Source organism: Homo sapiens, chromosome 7 (assembly GCF_000001405.40).
Source record: "Homo sapiens chromosome 7, GRCh38.p14 Primary Assembly".
Lineage (NCBI taxonomy): Eukaryota > Metazoa > Chordata > Mammalia > Primates > Hominidae > Homo > Homo sapiens.
In genome coordinates, this window is record NC_000007.14 from 151,331,366 (window position 1) to 151,348,462 (window position 17,097).

The window sequence follows — 17,097 nt, forward strand, 5'->3', positions numbered from 1 at the left end:
TAGAAAACTGGGCAAAGACTAAGAAAATATGATTCACTGAAAAGGAAATAGAAATAATTCATAAACATGAAAAATTACTTAACTTCACTCATAAGGAGATAAATATAAATTAAAACTACACCAAGATACTACTTTTTACTTATCAAGCTGGAAAAAATTTGATAACATGCTGTAATGACAAGGAAATATGGAAAAAGCACCCTCACGCATTACTTGTAGGAGGTTAAATTGGTACATTTCCTTGAAGGGCAATATCTATCAAAATCACAATGTAGGCCGAGCATGGTGGCTCATGCCTGTAATCCCAGCACTTTAGGAGACTGAGGCAGGCGGATCACTTGAGGTCAGGAGTTCAAGACCAGCCTGGCCAACATGGTGAAACTCCATCTCTACTAAAAATACAAAAATTAGCCAGGCATGGTGGTGGGTGCCTGTAGTCCTAGCTAATTGGGAGGCTGAGGCAGGAAATTGCTTGAACCTGGGAGGCAGAGGTTGCAGTGAGCCGAGATCACACCATTGCCCTCCAGCCTGGGGGACAAGTGCTAGACTCCGTCTCCAAAAAAAGAAGAAAAAAATCACAATGTACATACTCCTGACCCAATAATTCAGCTTTTACTGTTCTGGCTATATTTTATTATCTTGCCTCCTTTATCTTATTCCCAAAACTGAAATGTAATGGCTCCAATAGCAAATTTTTTTTTTTTTTTTTTTTTTTGAGACAGAGTCTCACTCTGTCACCCAGGCTGGAGTGCAGTGGCACGATCTCGGCTCACTGCAAACTTTGCCTCCCGGGTTCACGCCATTCTACTGCCTCAGCCTCCCGAGTAGCTGGGACTACAGGCGCCTGCCACCACACCCGGCTATTTTTTTGTATTTTTAGTAGAGACGGGGTTTCACCGTGTTAGCCAGGATGGTCTCGATCTCCTGACCTCGTGATCCGCCTGCCTCGGCCTCCCAAAGTGCTGGGATTATAGGCTTGAGCCACTGCGCCTGGCTTGAGATGAAGAATTCTTCCTGATTTGTTTGTTTTTGTTGCTATGGTGTGATATTGTGAAATACATATTTGGTCTTTGTCCCCATTTCCTGGTATACAACTCCTAAAATCCTTGGAATCTCCAAAGTGATGTATTTTTATGGTAATGAGTTGGCTGATGGCTGGCAGCTCCTAGTAGCATCAGGATAGGGCTGGTCACAGGAAACACCAAGGCCTAATTAAAAAGTTGAGACTTTACAGCCCCACTTCCCCAGTCTTGGGGGAAGGCAACAGGACTGGAGGCGAAGTTGATCACCAAAGGCCAACGATTTAATCAATCATGACTGTGTAATGCAGTTTCTCTAAAAACCCAACAGAACCAGGTTCAGAGTGTCCAGATAGCTGAACACATGAAGGTTCCTGAAGGGTGGAGGGCCCAGAGAGGTCAAGGAAGCACTGCACCCCTTCCCACATTTCTTATCCAATCCATCTGGTCGTCTGGTGTTCATCAGTATCCATGTAATATCCTTTATAATAAATCAGCAAATGTAAGTGTGTGTCTCCCTGAGTTCTGTGAGATGCTCTAGCAAAATAATTAAACCTAAGGAGGGGGTTGTGGGAACCTCAGTTTAGAGCCGCTTGGTCAGAAGCACAGGTAAAACAACCTGGGGCTTGTGAACTGGCATTATAAATGATGGGGGCAGTCTTGGAGTCTGAGCCCTCAACTCGTGGGATCTGATGCCATCTCCAGGTAGATAAGTGCAAGAATTGAATGAATTAGGGGACAGCCAACTGGTGTCTCCTGCAGAACTGACTGCTTGATTGGTGTGGTCACAGACGTCTTCTGTGTTGATTGTTGAGAGAGGCTCTAGGAGAAACTGAATTTGTTTTTTCCCTATATTCTCAGAATTGGTGTCAAAAATAGGACTTGGTGTTCACAGAAACATGTGGTTTGGGAAGAAAAAGGATAAAAGGGTGGGGGATGAGGAAGCTTTGATTCCTGGATGGCTCCATAAGCGTGGAGTAGCAGCTGTGCTGCAATAAGCTACCAAAGATAAAAGTTAGCAAAACACAGGGATGGATCTAACTTCCAGGGAGTTGGTTCACTGGGAGCATAAAGAAATGCAAGCTAGTCAGGCATGGTGGCATGCACTTGTAGTTCCAGCTACTAGGGAGTCTGAGGTGAGAGGACCTCTGGAGTCCAGGAGTTCAAGGCCGCAGTGAGCCATGCTCATGGCACTGCACTCCAGCCTGGGCAACAGAGTGAGACCTTGTCCGGAAAGAAAAAAGAAAAGAGGCCGGGCGTAGTGGCTCATGCCTGTAATCCCAGCACTTTGGGAGGCCGAGGCGGGCGGATCATGAGGTCAGGAGATCGACACCATCCTGGCTAACATGGTGAGACCCCGTCTCTACTAAAACTACAAAAAATTAGCCAGGTGTGGTGGCGGGCACCTGTAGTCCCACCTACTCAGGAGGCTGAGGCAGGAGAATCGCTTGAGCCCAAGAGGCAGAGGTTTCAGTGAACCAAGATCACGCCACTGCACTCCAGCCTGGTGACAGAGTGAGACTCCGTTTCAAAAAAAAAAAAGAAAAGAAAAAAGAAAAGAAAGAGACAGAGGAAAGGGGGGAGAAAAAAATGCAAGCTAATAAGAAAATGACAAATACTCATTTCCTAGGTAATTATTATCTGAAACAGCTAAAATGAAATTAAAAGAGAGTGCTGGCGGGGACCTTGATACTAAATCAAGCTCACATTTTAGTTGAGTCTGAGGTCTGGCCACCAGCCTCAAAGCTACTTCCAAAGGGAAAATTATTCAGGGACAACCGAAAGTACCTCTAAGGCCTGTGGTTACTAAGGTAGTCAATGTGGGGGAAAAGCAAAACCAAGAAACTACTGAAACCAGAAGGTATAGTGTGGAGGAATTGCTTCGTGTTGTGGATTGGCATCACCGGCTTCCTGAAGAACATTTACTAAAATGGATTGTGAGAGTAACTAATTTGGGGGCACTTTCTTTAGTTTTCAATGATGCCGGGTGGAAGAGCATTTTGAGTTGATGCCGAACCCACAGCTCACTATAGAACAATCACAGATGGTTGTATGGGATGCAGACACACAGCAGGTTATTCCCAATGGAATACAGCTTGCTGGACTGGATAAAAGCCACTGTAAGTTCTGCTTACCCTGTAAAGAGGAATTGTTCGATTCTCCCTAAAACCACCTTTGCAAAATTATAAGAGTAAGAGAAATCTGACGTAGTTGACTCCATCTTGCTTCTGACTTCCAAGCTGTCCTCAGTCATTCCTGGGTGTAGGCCAAGCTAATTTTGGGAAGAATTTAGTTTACAGTTTAACCTTAAAGCAAGGATGATAATGGGCCTTTCCAAAATTAAGCCACCTTTCTAAAACTAATGAAAGACTACCAGGTTAGGTTTATGAGATGGGCTTGAATTCTGCTAAGATGTAGGCATAGTTAAACGATAGCCAGGCATTGTTCTCAGGTCACATGATTTGTAACTTCCCCAATTACTCCTATAGCTAACATCACTATTATAGAACCTCAGATTGGTCTTTTGAGATATTTTTCAGACTTTTGCATTCTAGCAATTGACTAACCTCACCCAGAAGTGGACTTGTGACTCATGACCCAGCCTGTCCTGTGGCCCCACCCAAAGGTGGGCTCAGCATGCCCCAATGATTGTATCCCCCAGCAATCAGCAGCATCCATTTCCTAGCCCCTTGCCCACCAAACTATCCTTGAAAACCCCTAACCTCTAAACCTTCAGGGAGACTAATCTGAGTGATCACTCTGTCTCTCCAGGTGGCATGGCTGGCCTTGCATCGATAAATCTCTTTCTTTACTGCAGTGCCGCTGTCTCAGTGAATTGATTTTGTCTGGAGATTACAGGTCCTATAAATGCCAAGTGAAACACCCCGGATGAAGCAGCTCATATGCTTCATATGCGTGTGATGTGGAACTGGCTTTTTGATGACTGGGATGTTCACTTGCTGAAGAGGCCCATTACTCAGGTCATGGTAAATGCTGTGGTTAAGGGGCCCCTTTTAATGTGGATGCTCCATATAACTTTATTGATGAAAACCAAAAGACAGTTTAGGAAGTTTTATCCAAATTGCTCTCTTGGCTTCCCCTCATGGGTCTTACAGATGCTGATAAAAAACATTAGGTTAATTAATAAGAGACTGGGGAAAGGCAAAAGGGAGAGTCAAAGGGACTCATCTCAGTTGACCAAGAAAAAGCTGGCAGGTTTGTGGATGGCAGTTCCAAGGTGAATGAACAACATCCTATTTGGAAAGATGCCATTCTGATCCAAGAAGGTGAAAACATGGGCAGCTCTGTGGGCTGAATCCCATGCTATTTTCCTAGCAGCAGTGGAAGAATTGAAGGGTGGTCAAAGCCCCTGTGTGTGTGGTTTTCCTGACTCTCAGGCAGTGGCCAAGAGCCTGGCATGGGTATTGTGGTGATAAAGAATCAAGGAACTTCTACTTAACCAACTTTACTTCTGTTGGAGTAAAATCAGAAACTCCTTAAACACCCTCTGCACGATAGCAAAATTTAATGCTGAGTATTATCGATTCCTGTTAGAAGAGTGAAAAGTAACAGGTAGTTTTGGCAGCTCCTCTTTATTGATAGTTGCTTTGATCAGAATGATACGGTCAGCCTTCCATGTCTGTGTCTTCTGCATCCATGGATTCAGCCAATTGCAGATGGAAAATATCCAGGAAAAAAAAATTCTATAAAGTTCCCAAAAGCAAAACTGGAATTAGCGGCATGCTGAGTACTGTGCTGAATCCACACGAACGACGTGGTGTGTAGGCATCGTATTAGGTATTATGAGTGATCTGGAAGTGACTTAAAGCACAAGGAGGATGTGCATAGGTTCTATGCAAATATTACGCCCTTACATATCAGAGACTTGAGCGTTTGAGGATTTTGGTATCTGTAGGTGGTTCTGGAACAGACTCCCACAGATACGAAGGGATGACCGTATATGCTTTGGATTAAGTTGTGTGGTAAACTAATTCTTTTGTACATGGGGAAGTGGATTTAAAAAGAAAACAAGTTAATTCTTGACTTTCCTATTTATAAATGGGAATTTCTGGGGACTGGTTATCGACTGGAGTTTTTGGGGAATTTGAACGATGACTCACACTTTCAGTCTGGTGGGTTTTCTATTTTACTAGGAATCCTTGACAAAGGCTCTCTCTTCTGACCAAACTTTAGTCAGTCTCCTGAGTCCTTTCTGATTAGGCGCAGCCTTGGGCTCCTCTCTCTTCTTGTAGAATCCAGTTAGAGCAAGAACTTTGCCAAGTCAGTTGAGAGAAGGCCCTCATCTTTTGTATCTGATCCTTTTATCTTTTATCTGGTCACCCTGGCCTGCCTTCAGCAACAATAGTATCAAGTCATTTTAGCCAGAAGCCCCTTCTCCTTGATATTTCTTTTGATTTTTCATCCACTGACCCCCCCTTCTGCCCCTCTTGTTCCTTGATTATAAATTCCCACATGTCCTAATTGGACTTGGAGTTGAGTCCAGTCTCTCTCCCCCACTGCAAGACCTGTTGCAGGGGTCCCTATACATATTGTCATGGCCTCTTTGAATGGCCTTCTTTAACAAGTGTCATAAATTATATATATTTGAGATGGATTTTCGCTCTGTCACTAGGCTGGAGTGCAGTGGCGCAATCTCAGCTCACTGCAAGCTCCGCCTCCGGGTTCAAGTGATTCTCCTGCCTCAGCCTCCCAAGTAGCTGGGACTACAGGCATGCGCCACCACGCCCAGCTAATTTTTGTATTTTAATAGAGACAGGGTTTCACCATGTTAGCCAGGATGGTCTCAATCTCTTGACCTCGTGATCTGCCCACCTTGGCCTCCCAAAGTGCTGGGATTACAGGCGTGAGCCACCGCTCCTAGCCCATAAATAATTTTTTAACATGCTGTTTGGAGACATAGTAATTTTATTCAGCATCTTAGTTGGATATGAAGAACATGGAAGAAAGAGAAATCAAGTTAGTGGTGAGGAAAAGTTGTTCACATCTGATTGGGAATCCAGAATTTCAATCACCCAAACAGATGATAGAAGCTAAAAGAAGTTACAAGGTCATTGCATAGGAGGATTACTCTGATTCCTAGGAAACATGGGCTAGGATGCCTTATTTCAGTGGAGGTCATGAATTCCTGTTGCCATAGTCACTGTGAGAAAGGGCTTGGCCTTCTCACCTGTGATTCAGGTAGAATCATTCTGGAAGCATGTAATCAGTCCTCAAATTTTGTGTTCTGGTTTTGAATCTCTGACATATTCTGGTCCAAATTTTTTAACCCAGGTTCATTTGTCTCAATAGTTGGGTAGGTGCAGCTGGGCGCGGTGGCTCACACCTGTAATCCCAGCACTTTGGGAGGCCAAGGCGGGCAGATGACGAGGTCAGGAGATCGAGACCATCCTGGCTAACATGGTGAAACCCCGCCTCTACTAAAAATACAAAAAATTAGCCGGGCATGGTGGTGGGTGCCTGTAGTACCAGCAACTTGGGAGGCTGAGGCAGGAGATTGGCGTGAACCCGGAAGGCGGAGCTTGCAGTGAGCTGAGATTGTGCCACTGCACTCCAGCCTGGGTGACAGAGCAAGACTCCGCCTCAAAAAAAAAAAAAAAAGTTGGGTAGGTGATACACTTACTCTAACAAGATAAAAAAATAAGGAGAGAGATGATAAATAAATAAATCCGTGGTATTAGTACTACTGAATTAAGTTCAGGATCATCTGTTTGTGTTTTATCCGTGTTTGTTTTTTAACCCCTTTTAATGTTAAAAAGAATTCGATATACAATATTAGTCATGTGACTTTAAGTTTAAGGGTGAATAAAAACTAAGGTGACCTTGGAAGTAAGAAGGTGGCTACTCATCACTGTAGGCTTACCATCTGAGAAACCTCCATGGGAGGCCAGAATAACTTACTTCTTTTGCTTTTTTAAACTTAATTCCAGAAGACATCACATATGCATGACAAAGATAAAAGCACAAGTCTGCACCATTTCTGTGTTCTCAATAAATCTTATTGCCTAAAATATTAAGGAACGTTGAACTAAACATGTGTATTTTCTTTTAGCACATTAAAGATGCCATTCCATTGTCTTCTGGATTTATTGTTTCTGAAGTCAGCTGACAATCTTAAAAGGCAATGCATCTTTTCCCCGGCACCTTTTTTTTGTTTAATTAAATTAAATTAATTTTTTTTTTTTTGAGATGGAGTCTCAATCTGTTGCCCAGGCTGGAGTGCAATGGTGCAATCTTTGCTCACTGCAACCTGCATCTCCCAGGTTCCAGCGATTCTCCTGCCTCGGCCTTCCAAGTAGCTGGGATGACAGGCGCCCTCCACCACAGCCAGCTAAGTTTTGTATTTTTAGTAGAGACGGGGTTTCATCGTATTCGTCAAACTCATCTCGAACTCCTGACCTCAGGTGATCCACCTGCCTCAGCCTCCCAAAGTGCTGGGATTACTAGCGTGAGCCACCGTACCTGGCCCTGGCACCTTTTAAGATTTTATCTTTTTCCTTGGTTTTCAATGGTTCTACTAGAATGCACTGGGTGTGGCTGATTTTGTATTTATCCTGCTTAGGAGTCATAGAACTTACAGAATTTGTAATTTGATGTCTTTCATCAGTTTTGCGAAACTTGGACTCTTGGTTATTATCTTTTCAAATATTGTTTCTGCCCCTTTCTCTCTTTTTCTAGAAACCTGAATACCTGGTAGAACTTTTCATCATGTCCCATGTGTCTCTAATGCTTGTTTCTGTATTTTCCATTCTTTCCTTCTATGCTTCAGTTTGGATATTTTCTATTGATGTGCCTGCAGTTCACTAATCGTGTCTTTAGTTTTGTCTAACATCCAGAGTTCACAGCCTCATTTATTACACTTTTCACCTCTAGAGTTTTCATTTGATTTATTTTTATAGATTTCAATACTCAGGTGAAAATTTTCATCTTTTTTTCTGTTTTCTTGAAAATGTTCATCAGAGTTATTTTAATCAGGCAACTCCAATATCTGACTCATCTGTGGGTCTGTTTCTATTGTCTTTTTCTTTTTTTATCTAGTAACTTTTTAATGAGATGCCAAATATAGCTTCTAAAAAGTTGTAGAGGCTTCAAATGTTATCATTCTCTCAGGAGGGTTTTTCCCTTTCCTCCACAAAACCAAAGACAGGAGTGGCCAATAACCTTAATCCAATCAGGGACTGCATGGAGTGAAGGCTGGGCTGAGGTTCTGGTAGGGTTCAAGCTACCGTTGCCCTCCAGTTTCCAACTGGGAACATGGTGTAGGCTCTGCAGTAACCCACTTCCACCACCACCCTAGCAGATCTCAGACTCGAATCTTTGTTTTGCAAGTCTATCAAAAACTTCTGCTTTCAGAGGCCTTCCATTTACATTTCAGTTTCTTGCCCCATACAAGCCTTGAATTCAGCAATTGTCCTTGGAATTTCCCCCTACATCGCTGTGTTGGTTTTGTGTCCCCAGCAGTGGCCCTCTGTGGTCTCAAAGTCTAAATTCTCAGCCTCATGCTTGTATCCAGAACTGGCAAAAGCCCTCACACACCAATACAAGCCACTGCAGACATTAGCTCACCCCTTGAAGGTTCCTCATTCTCTGGAATATCAAGTCCCCCCATTCTTGCCTCAGCAGCTTTCACTGCCTTCAAACAGATGTTTTCTGACTTCGCTTTCTGGCTTTTCTAGTTGTTGTTAGTGGGAGCCTTGGTCTACTGCAAGCTGCTCCATCACACCTGAGCGTGGACATTCAATTTCCTGATGGTCTACTACGTAAATGTAAAAGTGAAACTATCTTTGTTACTCATCTCAGAGAAAGCCCTCAGAAAAAAATGTCAGAACAGTTTCTGTTGTCCTTCTACCTTGCTGCAATTGCTACTGAGCAATCAACGGGCTTTTTCCTGATGTGCTAGAAGCCAACACCATGGCACGGGCTTTTGAGAAAAGAAAGGCTTTATTGTGAGTTGACTGTCAAGGAGACATGAGGAAACCCTCAGCTCTGTCTCCTTGAGCTTGGGGCTGGGTTGGGTTTTATAAGCATAGGGTAATGACGCATGATCGGATTAGATTTTGCGATGAGGTGATGCTGGGATGCTCATCTGACTGGACCCTGCCATGGGGTGACACCAGGGCTTGATCTGATTGCATTCTGGATCTCACCATGCAGTGCCCATTTCTTAATTCAGTCCCTGCTTTGATCTGAGCACTCAGGTTCCGCCCCTGGTTGCATGCTTGGTTCACCTGGGCATCCTCAGGTTACGTGCGAAACCTTCCATCTGGGAGTCCATGCAACTGAAAAACAACTCACAACTTGGGTATATAAAAGGCGAATCAGATTGGTCTGGTGCGGTTATACAGTTATTAATATCCCTTTGTCAGAAGTCAAAATTACCACAAATTTAGATTAAAGATCTATTGGTTTTTATTGATTCATGAATCAGGATGGCATCTTCTCTGAAAATTTAGAAACGGTGCTCCAACGAGCTGGGCAGAGGAGGTGGGCTTTATAGGTAGAAAAGGGCTAAAGAAAGCAGCAACAGGGAACGAAAAACGGATTGGTCACTGCAAGGTTACAGGAGTCCCCTCTCGTCCACACACAGGTGGTGTGTCCCAAGACCCACAGTGGATGCCTGAAACCTCGGATAGTACTGCACCCCATTTTACATACACACACATATATATATACTATATATATACACACACTTCATTTTTCCTATACATACGTACATACCTACGATAAAGTTTAATTTATTAGGCACAGTAAGAGATTAACAGCAATAACTGATAATAAAATAGAAGCGTCACTGTTGAGCACAGCCTTGGGAATAGGACCTTGGAAGTAGGCAGAGCTCCCTAGGCCTTGTGGTCCCTAGTGGCCGTGGACAGCATGGGGGAGGAAATTCCCGGGAAGCAGCCTAATTTCACCCCAGGGAAGCCCCTGGTGGGCTTGTGGAGGGCGGGGTGAAAAGCCGCTGGTTTAGGGAAGGGGTCCAGCCTAGGCTGAGGAATGAGATGCGGGTTGGGACGGTCCCGACCCTTCCCCCAGCCTCTTTCAAGGATTCTGGAGAAACAAAGCCAGGATCCATTTCCTCTTGATGGCTGGCAAACTGAGCCCGGGCGGGAAGTCCTGGAAGACTGAGCCTGGGGTGGCGTTGGACACCAACTCCCAGGTCCTCGCCCCACACGGCCACATCCTCGCCCAGCCCCGCCTCCGCTTAGCTCCGCCCCGTCGCGGCTCCGCCCCGCGGTAACCACGCCCACACAACCGTATCCCCGCCCACAGCTGGCTTCGCCTTGGCCCCGCCCACAACCCTCTTTCCAAGCGGCGGCGGCGGCGGCGGCGCGAAGGCGACAGCGGCGGCGGGGGCGGGGCTGGCCTCACCCGGAATGAAAACAAACGGCGGCCGCTGCCGCATCCGGGCACTCTGCTGGTCGCGGCGGGAGTGGCGTGGCGCAGGTGAGGACACGGCGGCCGAGTGTCCTCGACCCCAGCCTCAGCAGCACTGCTTGGCGCCCCGGTTCCCGGTCCGACTGGGCACCTCTCCTGGCCAGGGGTGGAGCGGCCGCGGGGCGGGGGTGAGCAGCCATGCGTGGAGCTGGGCCGGGGCCGGGGCCGGGGCCGGGAGCGGTGGGCCGGGCTTCGGGACGCGCTGGCCGTTCGGGGCCCTTTGGTTTGCCCTGAGTTAGGCAGAGGTGTGGGGTATTTAAAAGAAAATATTGAGTGTATCGGTTTGGGGAGAGAAAGGAATAAATATGTCTATAAAAAATTAGCCAAATGCTATACTTGAATCGTAACACTCCGAGTATACCATTTGGGATTTATTTGCAATCAAAGCCAGATTTTCTTTGCTATTTAATGACAAGACACTTGATTTTCTCGAACCTTGACGACCTGATTCTATCATTCTCACCTCCTTCCCTTTTATTTTTAATCAAGAATCTTTCATTTTCCTAAGAAAAAATGAATGTGTCTTGACTAGATATAGTTGTGTTTCAACTATATATAATGTATACTTGAAAAGGTGTGGCTAAATGTAGCAATGATCGATTCATTACAAAAGTGAAAGTGAAATTTTTAAAGGATCGTTATAACGTTTCACTTTCTGCTTGGACCACGGAGTGATATTAATGAGTTTCGTCTTTTCTTAGTTACAATGTGAAACATTGTATGGCATGCATGAAACTTTTTCAGTTCTCATTTCAGTTAAAATTAAAAACTGACTTATTAAACTTGACTTAAAATATGTCGCCACTTACTCTGTTGTCTATAACTGAAGTTCCTTAAGTTTCAAGACAGTGGTTTAATTTTTTTTTAACATTAAATCTTATTCGGTGTAACCCTGGAGCTCTTGTTTGCTCCCTGGAGTGTCTGACACGCACTGGGTTTGTAACACTCCTTCGTCCTTCTGTCAAGTGGTGGCTTGGATGGCATCTTTTTAAAAATTTTTTATTTGTTTATTTTTTTAGTAGAGACGGGGTTTCACCATGTTGACCAGGCTGGTCTTGAACTCCTGACCTCAGGTGATCCACTGGCCTCGGCCTCCCAAGTGCTGGGATTACAGGTGTGAGCCACCGCGCCCGGCCTTGGATGGCATCTCTGAGTACCGCATCAGCCTTTCAAATTGCTTGGCTCCAGTAACCAGCCTGTGAAATTACTGTCCCCCAGTGGGGAGACAGTAGGGTTGCTGTGATATTTTATTCAGAATTTCTGAAGATTCATGAGTAGTATGTAAAGTAGTTTTTAAAGTTATTTGTGTTTGAAAAGCTAACGCTCTAAGTACTAATATGCTTTGCTGTGATAAGCCGTTTGTCAGTGCTTGAAAAATGGAGGATTCTCCCATGGGCCACCCAGGTTGCACACAGCAGCCTCATTGGCTGTGTTATTCCTTCCTCTCTTTTCTCCTCCCTGTCCTGATTAGCCTAATTCTTGTCCCCGCACTGACATAAAATAGATTTGAACTTTCTTTTAAAAAATATTTGTTTATGAAATACACAAGCTACCAAAGTTTTCAAAGATTTCAAAGTTGTGTGAATTGGGTTTGGGGGGATGTGGAATACTGGCCCTCAATAGAAGAAAGAAATTTATCTTGGTAATATTAACTCATATTTTTTCCACTCTCTAGAACTTGTCTTCATCATTCAGGGGCTAATAACATTTTTCTTTACTTATTGCTTGTCTGATTTGGGAAACCTTAAAGCGCTGTGCTACACCTGCCAGCTGCCTTACATCTCAGCCGCCTCACTCACCTTTGAATTGCTGTGCTAGTATGGGATGAGTAGACAGCTCCATCGCGGTACATACTTCTCTGGGAGAGAGAAGTTACATACCTGGAACAGGCAAGCAGCAAGGGACTCCATGACGGAAGTTCAGAGTCCAGTGTTGTGGGTGGAAGTTGTGCTCGTTAAGATGCTGCCTAATTTTGTGTCTTTGCCTGAGTCATGGTACAAACTCAGGGCCCTAATTTTCTCAGCTGTAAAATGATCCGATCAGTGTTAGATTTGAATAGTAGGGCCAGGCGCGGTGGCTCAGGCCTGTAATCCCAGCACTTTGGGAGGCCGAGGCGGGCGGATCACAAGGTCAGGAGATTGAGACCATCCTGGCCAACACGGTGAAACCCCATCTCTACTAAAAATACAAAAAATCAGCCGGGCGTGGTGGCGGGCGCCTGTAGTCCCAGCTACTGGGGAGGCTGAGGCAGGAGAATGGCGTGAACCCGGGAGGCGGAGCTTGCAGTGAGCCGAGATTGTACCACTGCACTCTAGCCTGGGCGACAGAGTGAGACTCCCTCTCAAAAAAAAAAAAAAAAAAAAAAAAAAAAAAAAAGTAGATGTGCTGTTAGGCTGTTAATCAGAAAATATGCAAAATTTTCCTAGTATTGTAATCTTTTTAATTTAAAAAATTCTGACATAGAAAATATTTATATATTTATTATTATTTTGAGACGGAGTCTCACTCTGTTGCCCAGGCTGGAGTGCAGTGGTGCCATCTCGGCTCACTACAACCTCTGCCTCCTGGATTCAAGCGATTCTCCTGCCTCAGTCTCCCGAGTAGCTGGGATTACAGGTACCTGCCACCACGCCCGGCTAATTGTTCATATATTTTTTTTTTTTTAGTAGAGATAGGGCTTCACCATGTTGACCAGGCTGGTCTCGAACTCCTGACCTCAGCTCCTGAACTCAGCCTCCCAAAGTGCTGGGGTTACAGGCCTGAGCCACCACACCCATCCGAAAATATTTATTATCGATAGTTTACAGTTCAAGCAAGCTTTTCTTTATATTTAACTACCAGGATGGTTGGCCTTTTGTTTTATGTTAAACTAGCCAAAGTATGAGAGAATTTACAAGCTCACGCCTGTAATCCCAGCGTTTTGAGACCAAGGTGGGTGGATCACTTGAGGTCAGGAATTCGAGACCAGCCTGGCCAACATGGCGAAACCCCGTCTCTACTAAAAATATGAAAATTAGCCGGGCGTGGTGGCGCATGCCTGTAATCCCAGTGAGTAGGGAGGCTGATGCAGGGGAATTGCTTGAACCCAGGGGGCGGAGCTTGCAGTGAGCCGAGATCGCACCACTGCACTCCAGCCTGGGCGACAGAGCGAGACTCCGTCTCAAAAAAGAAAAAAAGAAGTTCACGACTCGAGGGATTTATCTTTCTCTTATTTTCTCTTTTCTCTTAGATAAGAGAATAGCAGATTAAGAAATAGAAACATGTAATAATCCTTGCTACATATTAGCAACTTTGAAATACATATTTTATATATGTAATATATATAATTGAACATATATTTCTATATATATTTTTAGAGAAGTCTGGAGCTCATTTAAACCATAGTAATTTATATTTAATGACAGAGGAAGGGAGCTTTGCTTACCCAACAAAGCACCTTAACATGTAGGTAAGTTATTAACATTTTAAAATGCGATGTGGAGTTTTATTAATGTATTGTTTTGCTTTCAGGGATGGCACAAAAGAAATATCTTCAAGCAAAATTGACCCAGTTTTTAAGGGAAGACAGGATTCAACTTTGGAAACCTCCATATACAGATGAAAATAAAAAAGTTGGTTTGGCATTAAAGGTATTTTTCTTTTAAGACATCAATAATTAGCAGCATTATAAATCTCCTTGGTAAATAAGATTCTGAATTGTCAGGCATGACCATATAAACTTTTGGCATAACCAAAAGCATTAGTGGTGAGCGGGTACCCACTTTTTACTAGGAACTGACAACCTTATTTTTGTTCATTAATATTTTATTCACATGAGGATGTTATCTAATTTTTCAGGCATATATTTTTAATACCATCACAGGATTACATAACATTATTTATCTGGAACTCATTTTGACCCATTAGTGGAACAGTATTGGTGCCAGTAAGTAATTGCATTGTGTGTTCAAAGTGACAGTGTCTTGGCTCATTCTCGGTCCTCCTTGCTATCATCATCTGCTGTGAAACAATTGCTCCTTTTTCCCCCAGTTTTTTTGATGCTCTCACTATCAGTGTTCATTTTTCCAAAATAGGTTTTTTCTAACAGTTGTATCTCAGTTTTTCATGGCATCATCAGAAATGATATTGTATGTAAGTGATGTTTCTAGAAACTGAAGTCTGCTTGCTTTTCTAAGCAGAGAAACAGTACTCATTTTTGCCAGAAATCTATCATACTGGAATTTCCTAGCATGTACTTCTCTGCTCTCATTCAGAGTATCCTGAACATGATGTAACATTTATCAGGGACTAAGGATTGTCATGAGGCATTAAATTGCTCTGTGTTGTGACATAATGATGTGCTTGGGAGGTGACAAACTGTATTAGGGTCCTAGTTCTTCTGTTTCTTCTGTTCCAGGCAGGCCTCACTTTTTCTTTGCAACCCACCTTCTGACCTTGCTTCTGAATTTATTGTTACAGTCTCTTGGTTTAGAAACTAGGTGTGGCATAAAGGAAAAATATTTGACCTTTGTCCCTGGTTCCTGGCAGAGCCAAAACTCTTGGGATTTCCTAAGTGGTAAGCATGATAGGAGCAACCTTTGTGCTCATGAGGCTTGGTTGCCCCTAGATAGCTTCAGGATGGGGCTGGTCACCAAAAGTACCAAGCCGTGATTAGACACTTGAAACTTTCCACCCTCCCCTCCAACCTCTGGGAAGGGGAGATTGAGCTGATGACTAATACTAATGGTCAGTGATTTAATCAGGCCTGCATAATGAAACTTCCATACAAACCCCTAAGTGACAGATTTTGGACAGCTTCCAAATTGGTGAACACATCCACATGTCGGGATGTACACCCCCAACTCCATGGGACAGAGGCTTCTATGCTCAGGACCCTTCCAGACCTTGCCTTAGTACCTCTTCATGTGAATGGTTATTTGTATCCTTTGTAATGAACTATATTCATAAGTATACCATTTTCTGGAGTTCTGTGAGTTGTTCTAGCAAATCATGGAACCTGAAGGGGGTGCTTGTGTGAACCCTCGACTTTGTAGCTAAGTCAGACAAAAGTATGGGTAACCTGGGGACCAGATACTTGGTAACTGGTATCTGAAGTTAGGGCTTTTTTGTGGGCTGAGCCCTTAAACCTGTGGAGTCTAACGCTAACTCTGGGTAGTTAGTGTCAGAATTGAATCGTAGGACTTCCAGTTGGTGTCAGAATTGGCTGGTGACAGGAGGAAGAAAGAAATCCTCACTAGTTAGGTTTTCTAGAAAATTATAGAAAGTTTTTAAAAAAGTATTTATAATATATATTCTAGGTTTTAAAAAGTATGTATATAAATACAAAAATATAAAGAATGTATTTTTAAAATATGTTAAACATCGTTAACATAGGTATATTCTTCCTCTTTTCCTACGTAACTATTAAAAAAATGTATTGCTGGACACAGTGGCGCATGCCTGTAGTCCCAGCTACTCAGGAGGCTAAGGCAGGAGGATCACTTGAACCCGGGAGTTGGAGACTGTAGTATGCTATGGTCCCACCTGTGAATAGCCACTGCACTCCAGCCTGGGCAACGTAGTGAGACCCCGTCTCTAAAAGAAAAAAAAAGTATATATAGGTTTATGTTACTTACAAAATTTTTTTTCCTTTTTTTTTGAGACAAGGTCTTGATCTGTTGCCCAGGCTGGAGTGCAATGGCATGGCCATAGTTCATTGCAGCCTCACACTCCTGGGCTCAAGTGATTCTCCCACCTCAGCCTTGGGAGTAGCTGGGACTACAGGTGCATGCCACCATGCCTGGCTAATATATTTTTAGTTTTTGTAGAGACGGGGTTTCACTTTGTTGCCCAGGTTGGTCTTGAAGTCCTGGGCTTGAGCAATCCTCTCACCTTGCCTTCCAAAGTGCTGGGATTACAGGCATGAGCCATCGCGCCCAATCTATACTCATATCTATAAAGTTTTCCAACTTCACTTTTATCATGAACATCTCTTCTGTCATAAATTTATGCTTACACCATAATTTTTACGTACTACATGGTATTACATTATGAATTTAATGAAACCTTGACCTTTAGGGTTTTTTGAAGTGTTTACTGTTTTATGAGATGTTTAATGAAACATTAACCTCACATGCAGATACAGATTGAGAGGAGTATCCCGTAACTGAAATATTTGGGACTGGAAGTGTGTTTGGATTTTGGAATGTTTGCTTTATACCTACTAGTTGGGCATCCTAATCTGAAAATTCAAAATTCAAAATACTTCAGTGTGCATTTCCTTTGAGCATCTCCAGATGCTGAATTTTGGCGATTTCAGATTTTTAGATTAGAGATACTCATCTGGATTTTTTTGGGGAGGAACCATAATGACTTTGCTCTCAGTAATAACTGGTTCCCATCCTTTCTTGAGCCCTTTCAATCTTCTTTTTTTTCTCAATTCTAAAGCTCTCCCTTACAAATAGTTTTACAACTAGTACCCATGATTCACAGATTTTCATTAAGAGAATTGTTTAAGTCCAACTTGATTTGTTCTCACAAGTTTGAAAAATTGGAATATTTTCTGGGTTTTTTTTTCATTTTCCCTTCCAGTGGAGTTGAACAGTTCATTATACTTTTTAAATAGATCACAGTCACATAAGTCATA

The 17,097-nt window shown here is 43.4% G+C and overlaps 1 protein-coding gene across 10 annotated transcripts in view, besides 6 other annotated features; it reads left to right on the plus strand.

The window, feature by feature from the left end:
• Positions 4,915–4,994: an enhancer, noted in NCBI's record as "active region_26856". NCBI's record gives its function as "activates an Ori minimal core promoter by ATAC-STARR-seq in GM12878 lymphoblastoid cells {active_cell/tissue: GM12878}" and the evidence as "EXISTENCE:reporter gene assay evidence [ECO:0000049][PMID:35858748]".
• Positions 8,719–8,778: an enhancer, noted in NCBI's record as "active region_26857". NCBI's record gives its function as "activates an Ori minimal core promoter by ATAC-STARR-seq in GM12878 lymphoblastoid cells {active_cell/tissue: GM12878}" and the evidence as "EXISTENCE:reporter gene assay evidence [ECO:0000049][PMID:35858748]".
• Positions 8,909–8,998: an enhancer, noted in NCBI's record as "active region_26858". NCBI's record gives its function as "activates an Ori minimal core promoter by ATAC-STARR-seq in GM12878 lymphoblastoid cells {active_cell/tissue: GM12878}" and the evidence as "EXISTENCE:reporter gene assay evidence [ECO:0000049][PMID:35858748]".
• Positions 10,068–10,569: an enhancer, noted in NCBI's record as "H3K27ac hESC enhancer chr7:151038519-151039020 (GRCh37/hg19 assembly coordinates)". NCBI's record gives its function as "activates a minimal SCP1, AML or CMV promoter by ChIP-STARR-seq in naive H9 embryonic stem cells {active_cell/tissue: H9 hESC(naive)}" and the evidence as "EXISTENCE:reporter gene assay evidence [ECO:0000049][PMID:30033119]".
• Positions 10,167–10,366: a silencer, noted in NCBI's record as "silent region_18811". NCBI's record gives its function as "represses an Ori minimal core promoter by ATAC-STARR-seq in GM12878 lymphoblastoid cells {active_cell/tissue: GM12878}" and the evidence as "EXISTENCE:reporter gene assay evidence [ECO:0000049][PMID:35858748]".
• Positions 10,447–17,097, plus strand: part of NUB1 (negative regulator of ubiquitin like proteins 1) — a 36,638-nt gene continuing 29,987 nt past the window's right edge. For 6 of the 10 annotated variants that reach the window (NM_001243351.2, NM_016118.5, NM_001385361.1 and 3 more), the window contains exons 1-2: positions 10,447–10,481; positions 13,983–14,101. In NM_001243351.2, the coding sequence (NP_001230280.2) occupies positions 13,985–14,101 (117 nt within the window). In that variant the 5' untranslated portion in view covers positions 10,447–10,481; positions 13,983–13,984. Of the gene's footprint in view, positions 10,601–13,982; positions 14,102–17,097 lie in introns of all 10 variants that reach the window. The other 4 variants (NM_001363529.2, NM_001385353.1, NM_001385356.1 and 1 more) reach the window with 1 other exon arrangement.
• Positions 10,537–10,716: a silencer, noted in NCBI's record as "silent region_18812". NCBI's record gives its function as "represses an Ori minimal core promoter by ATAC-STARR-seq in GM12878 lymphoblastoid cells {active_cell/tissue: GM12878}" and the evidence as "EXISTENCE:reporter gene assay evidence [ECO:0000049][PMID:35858748]".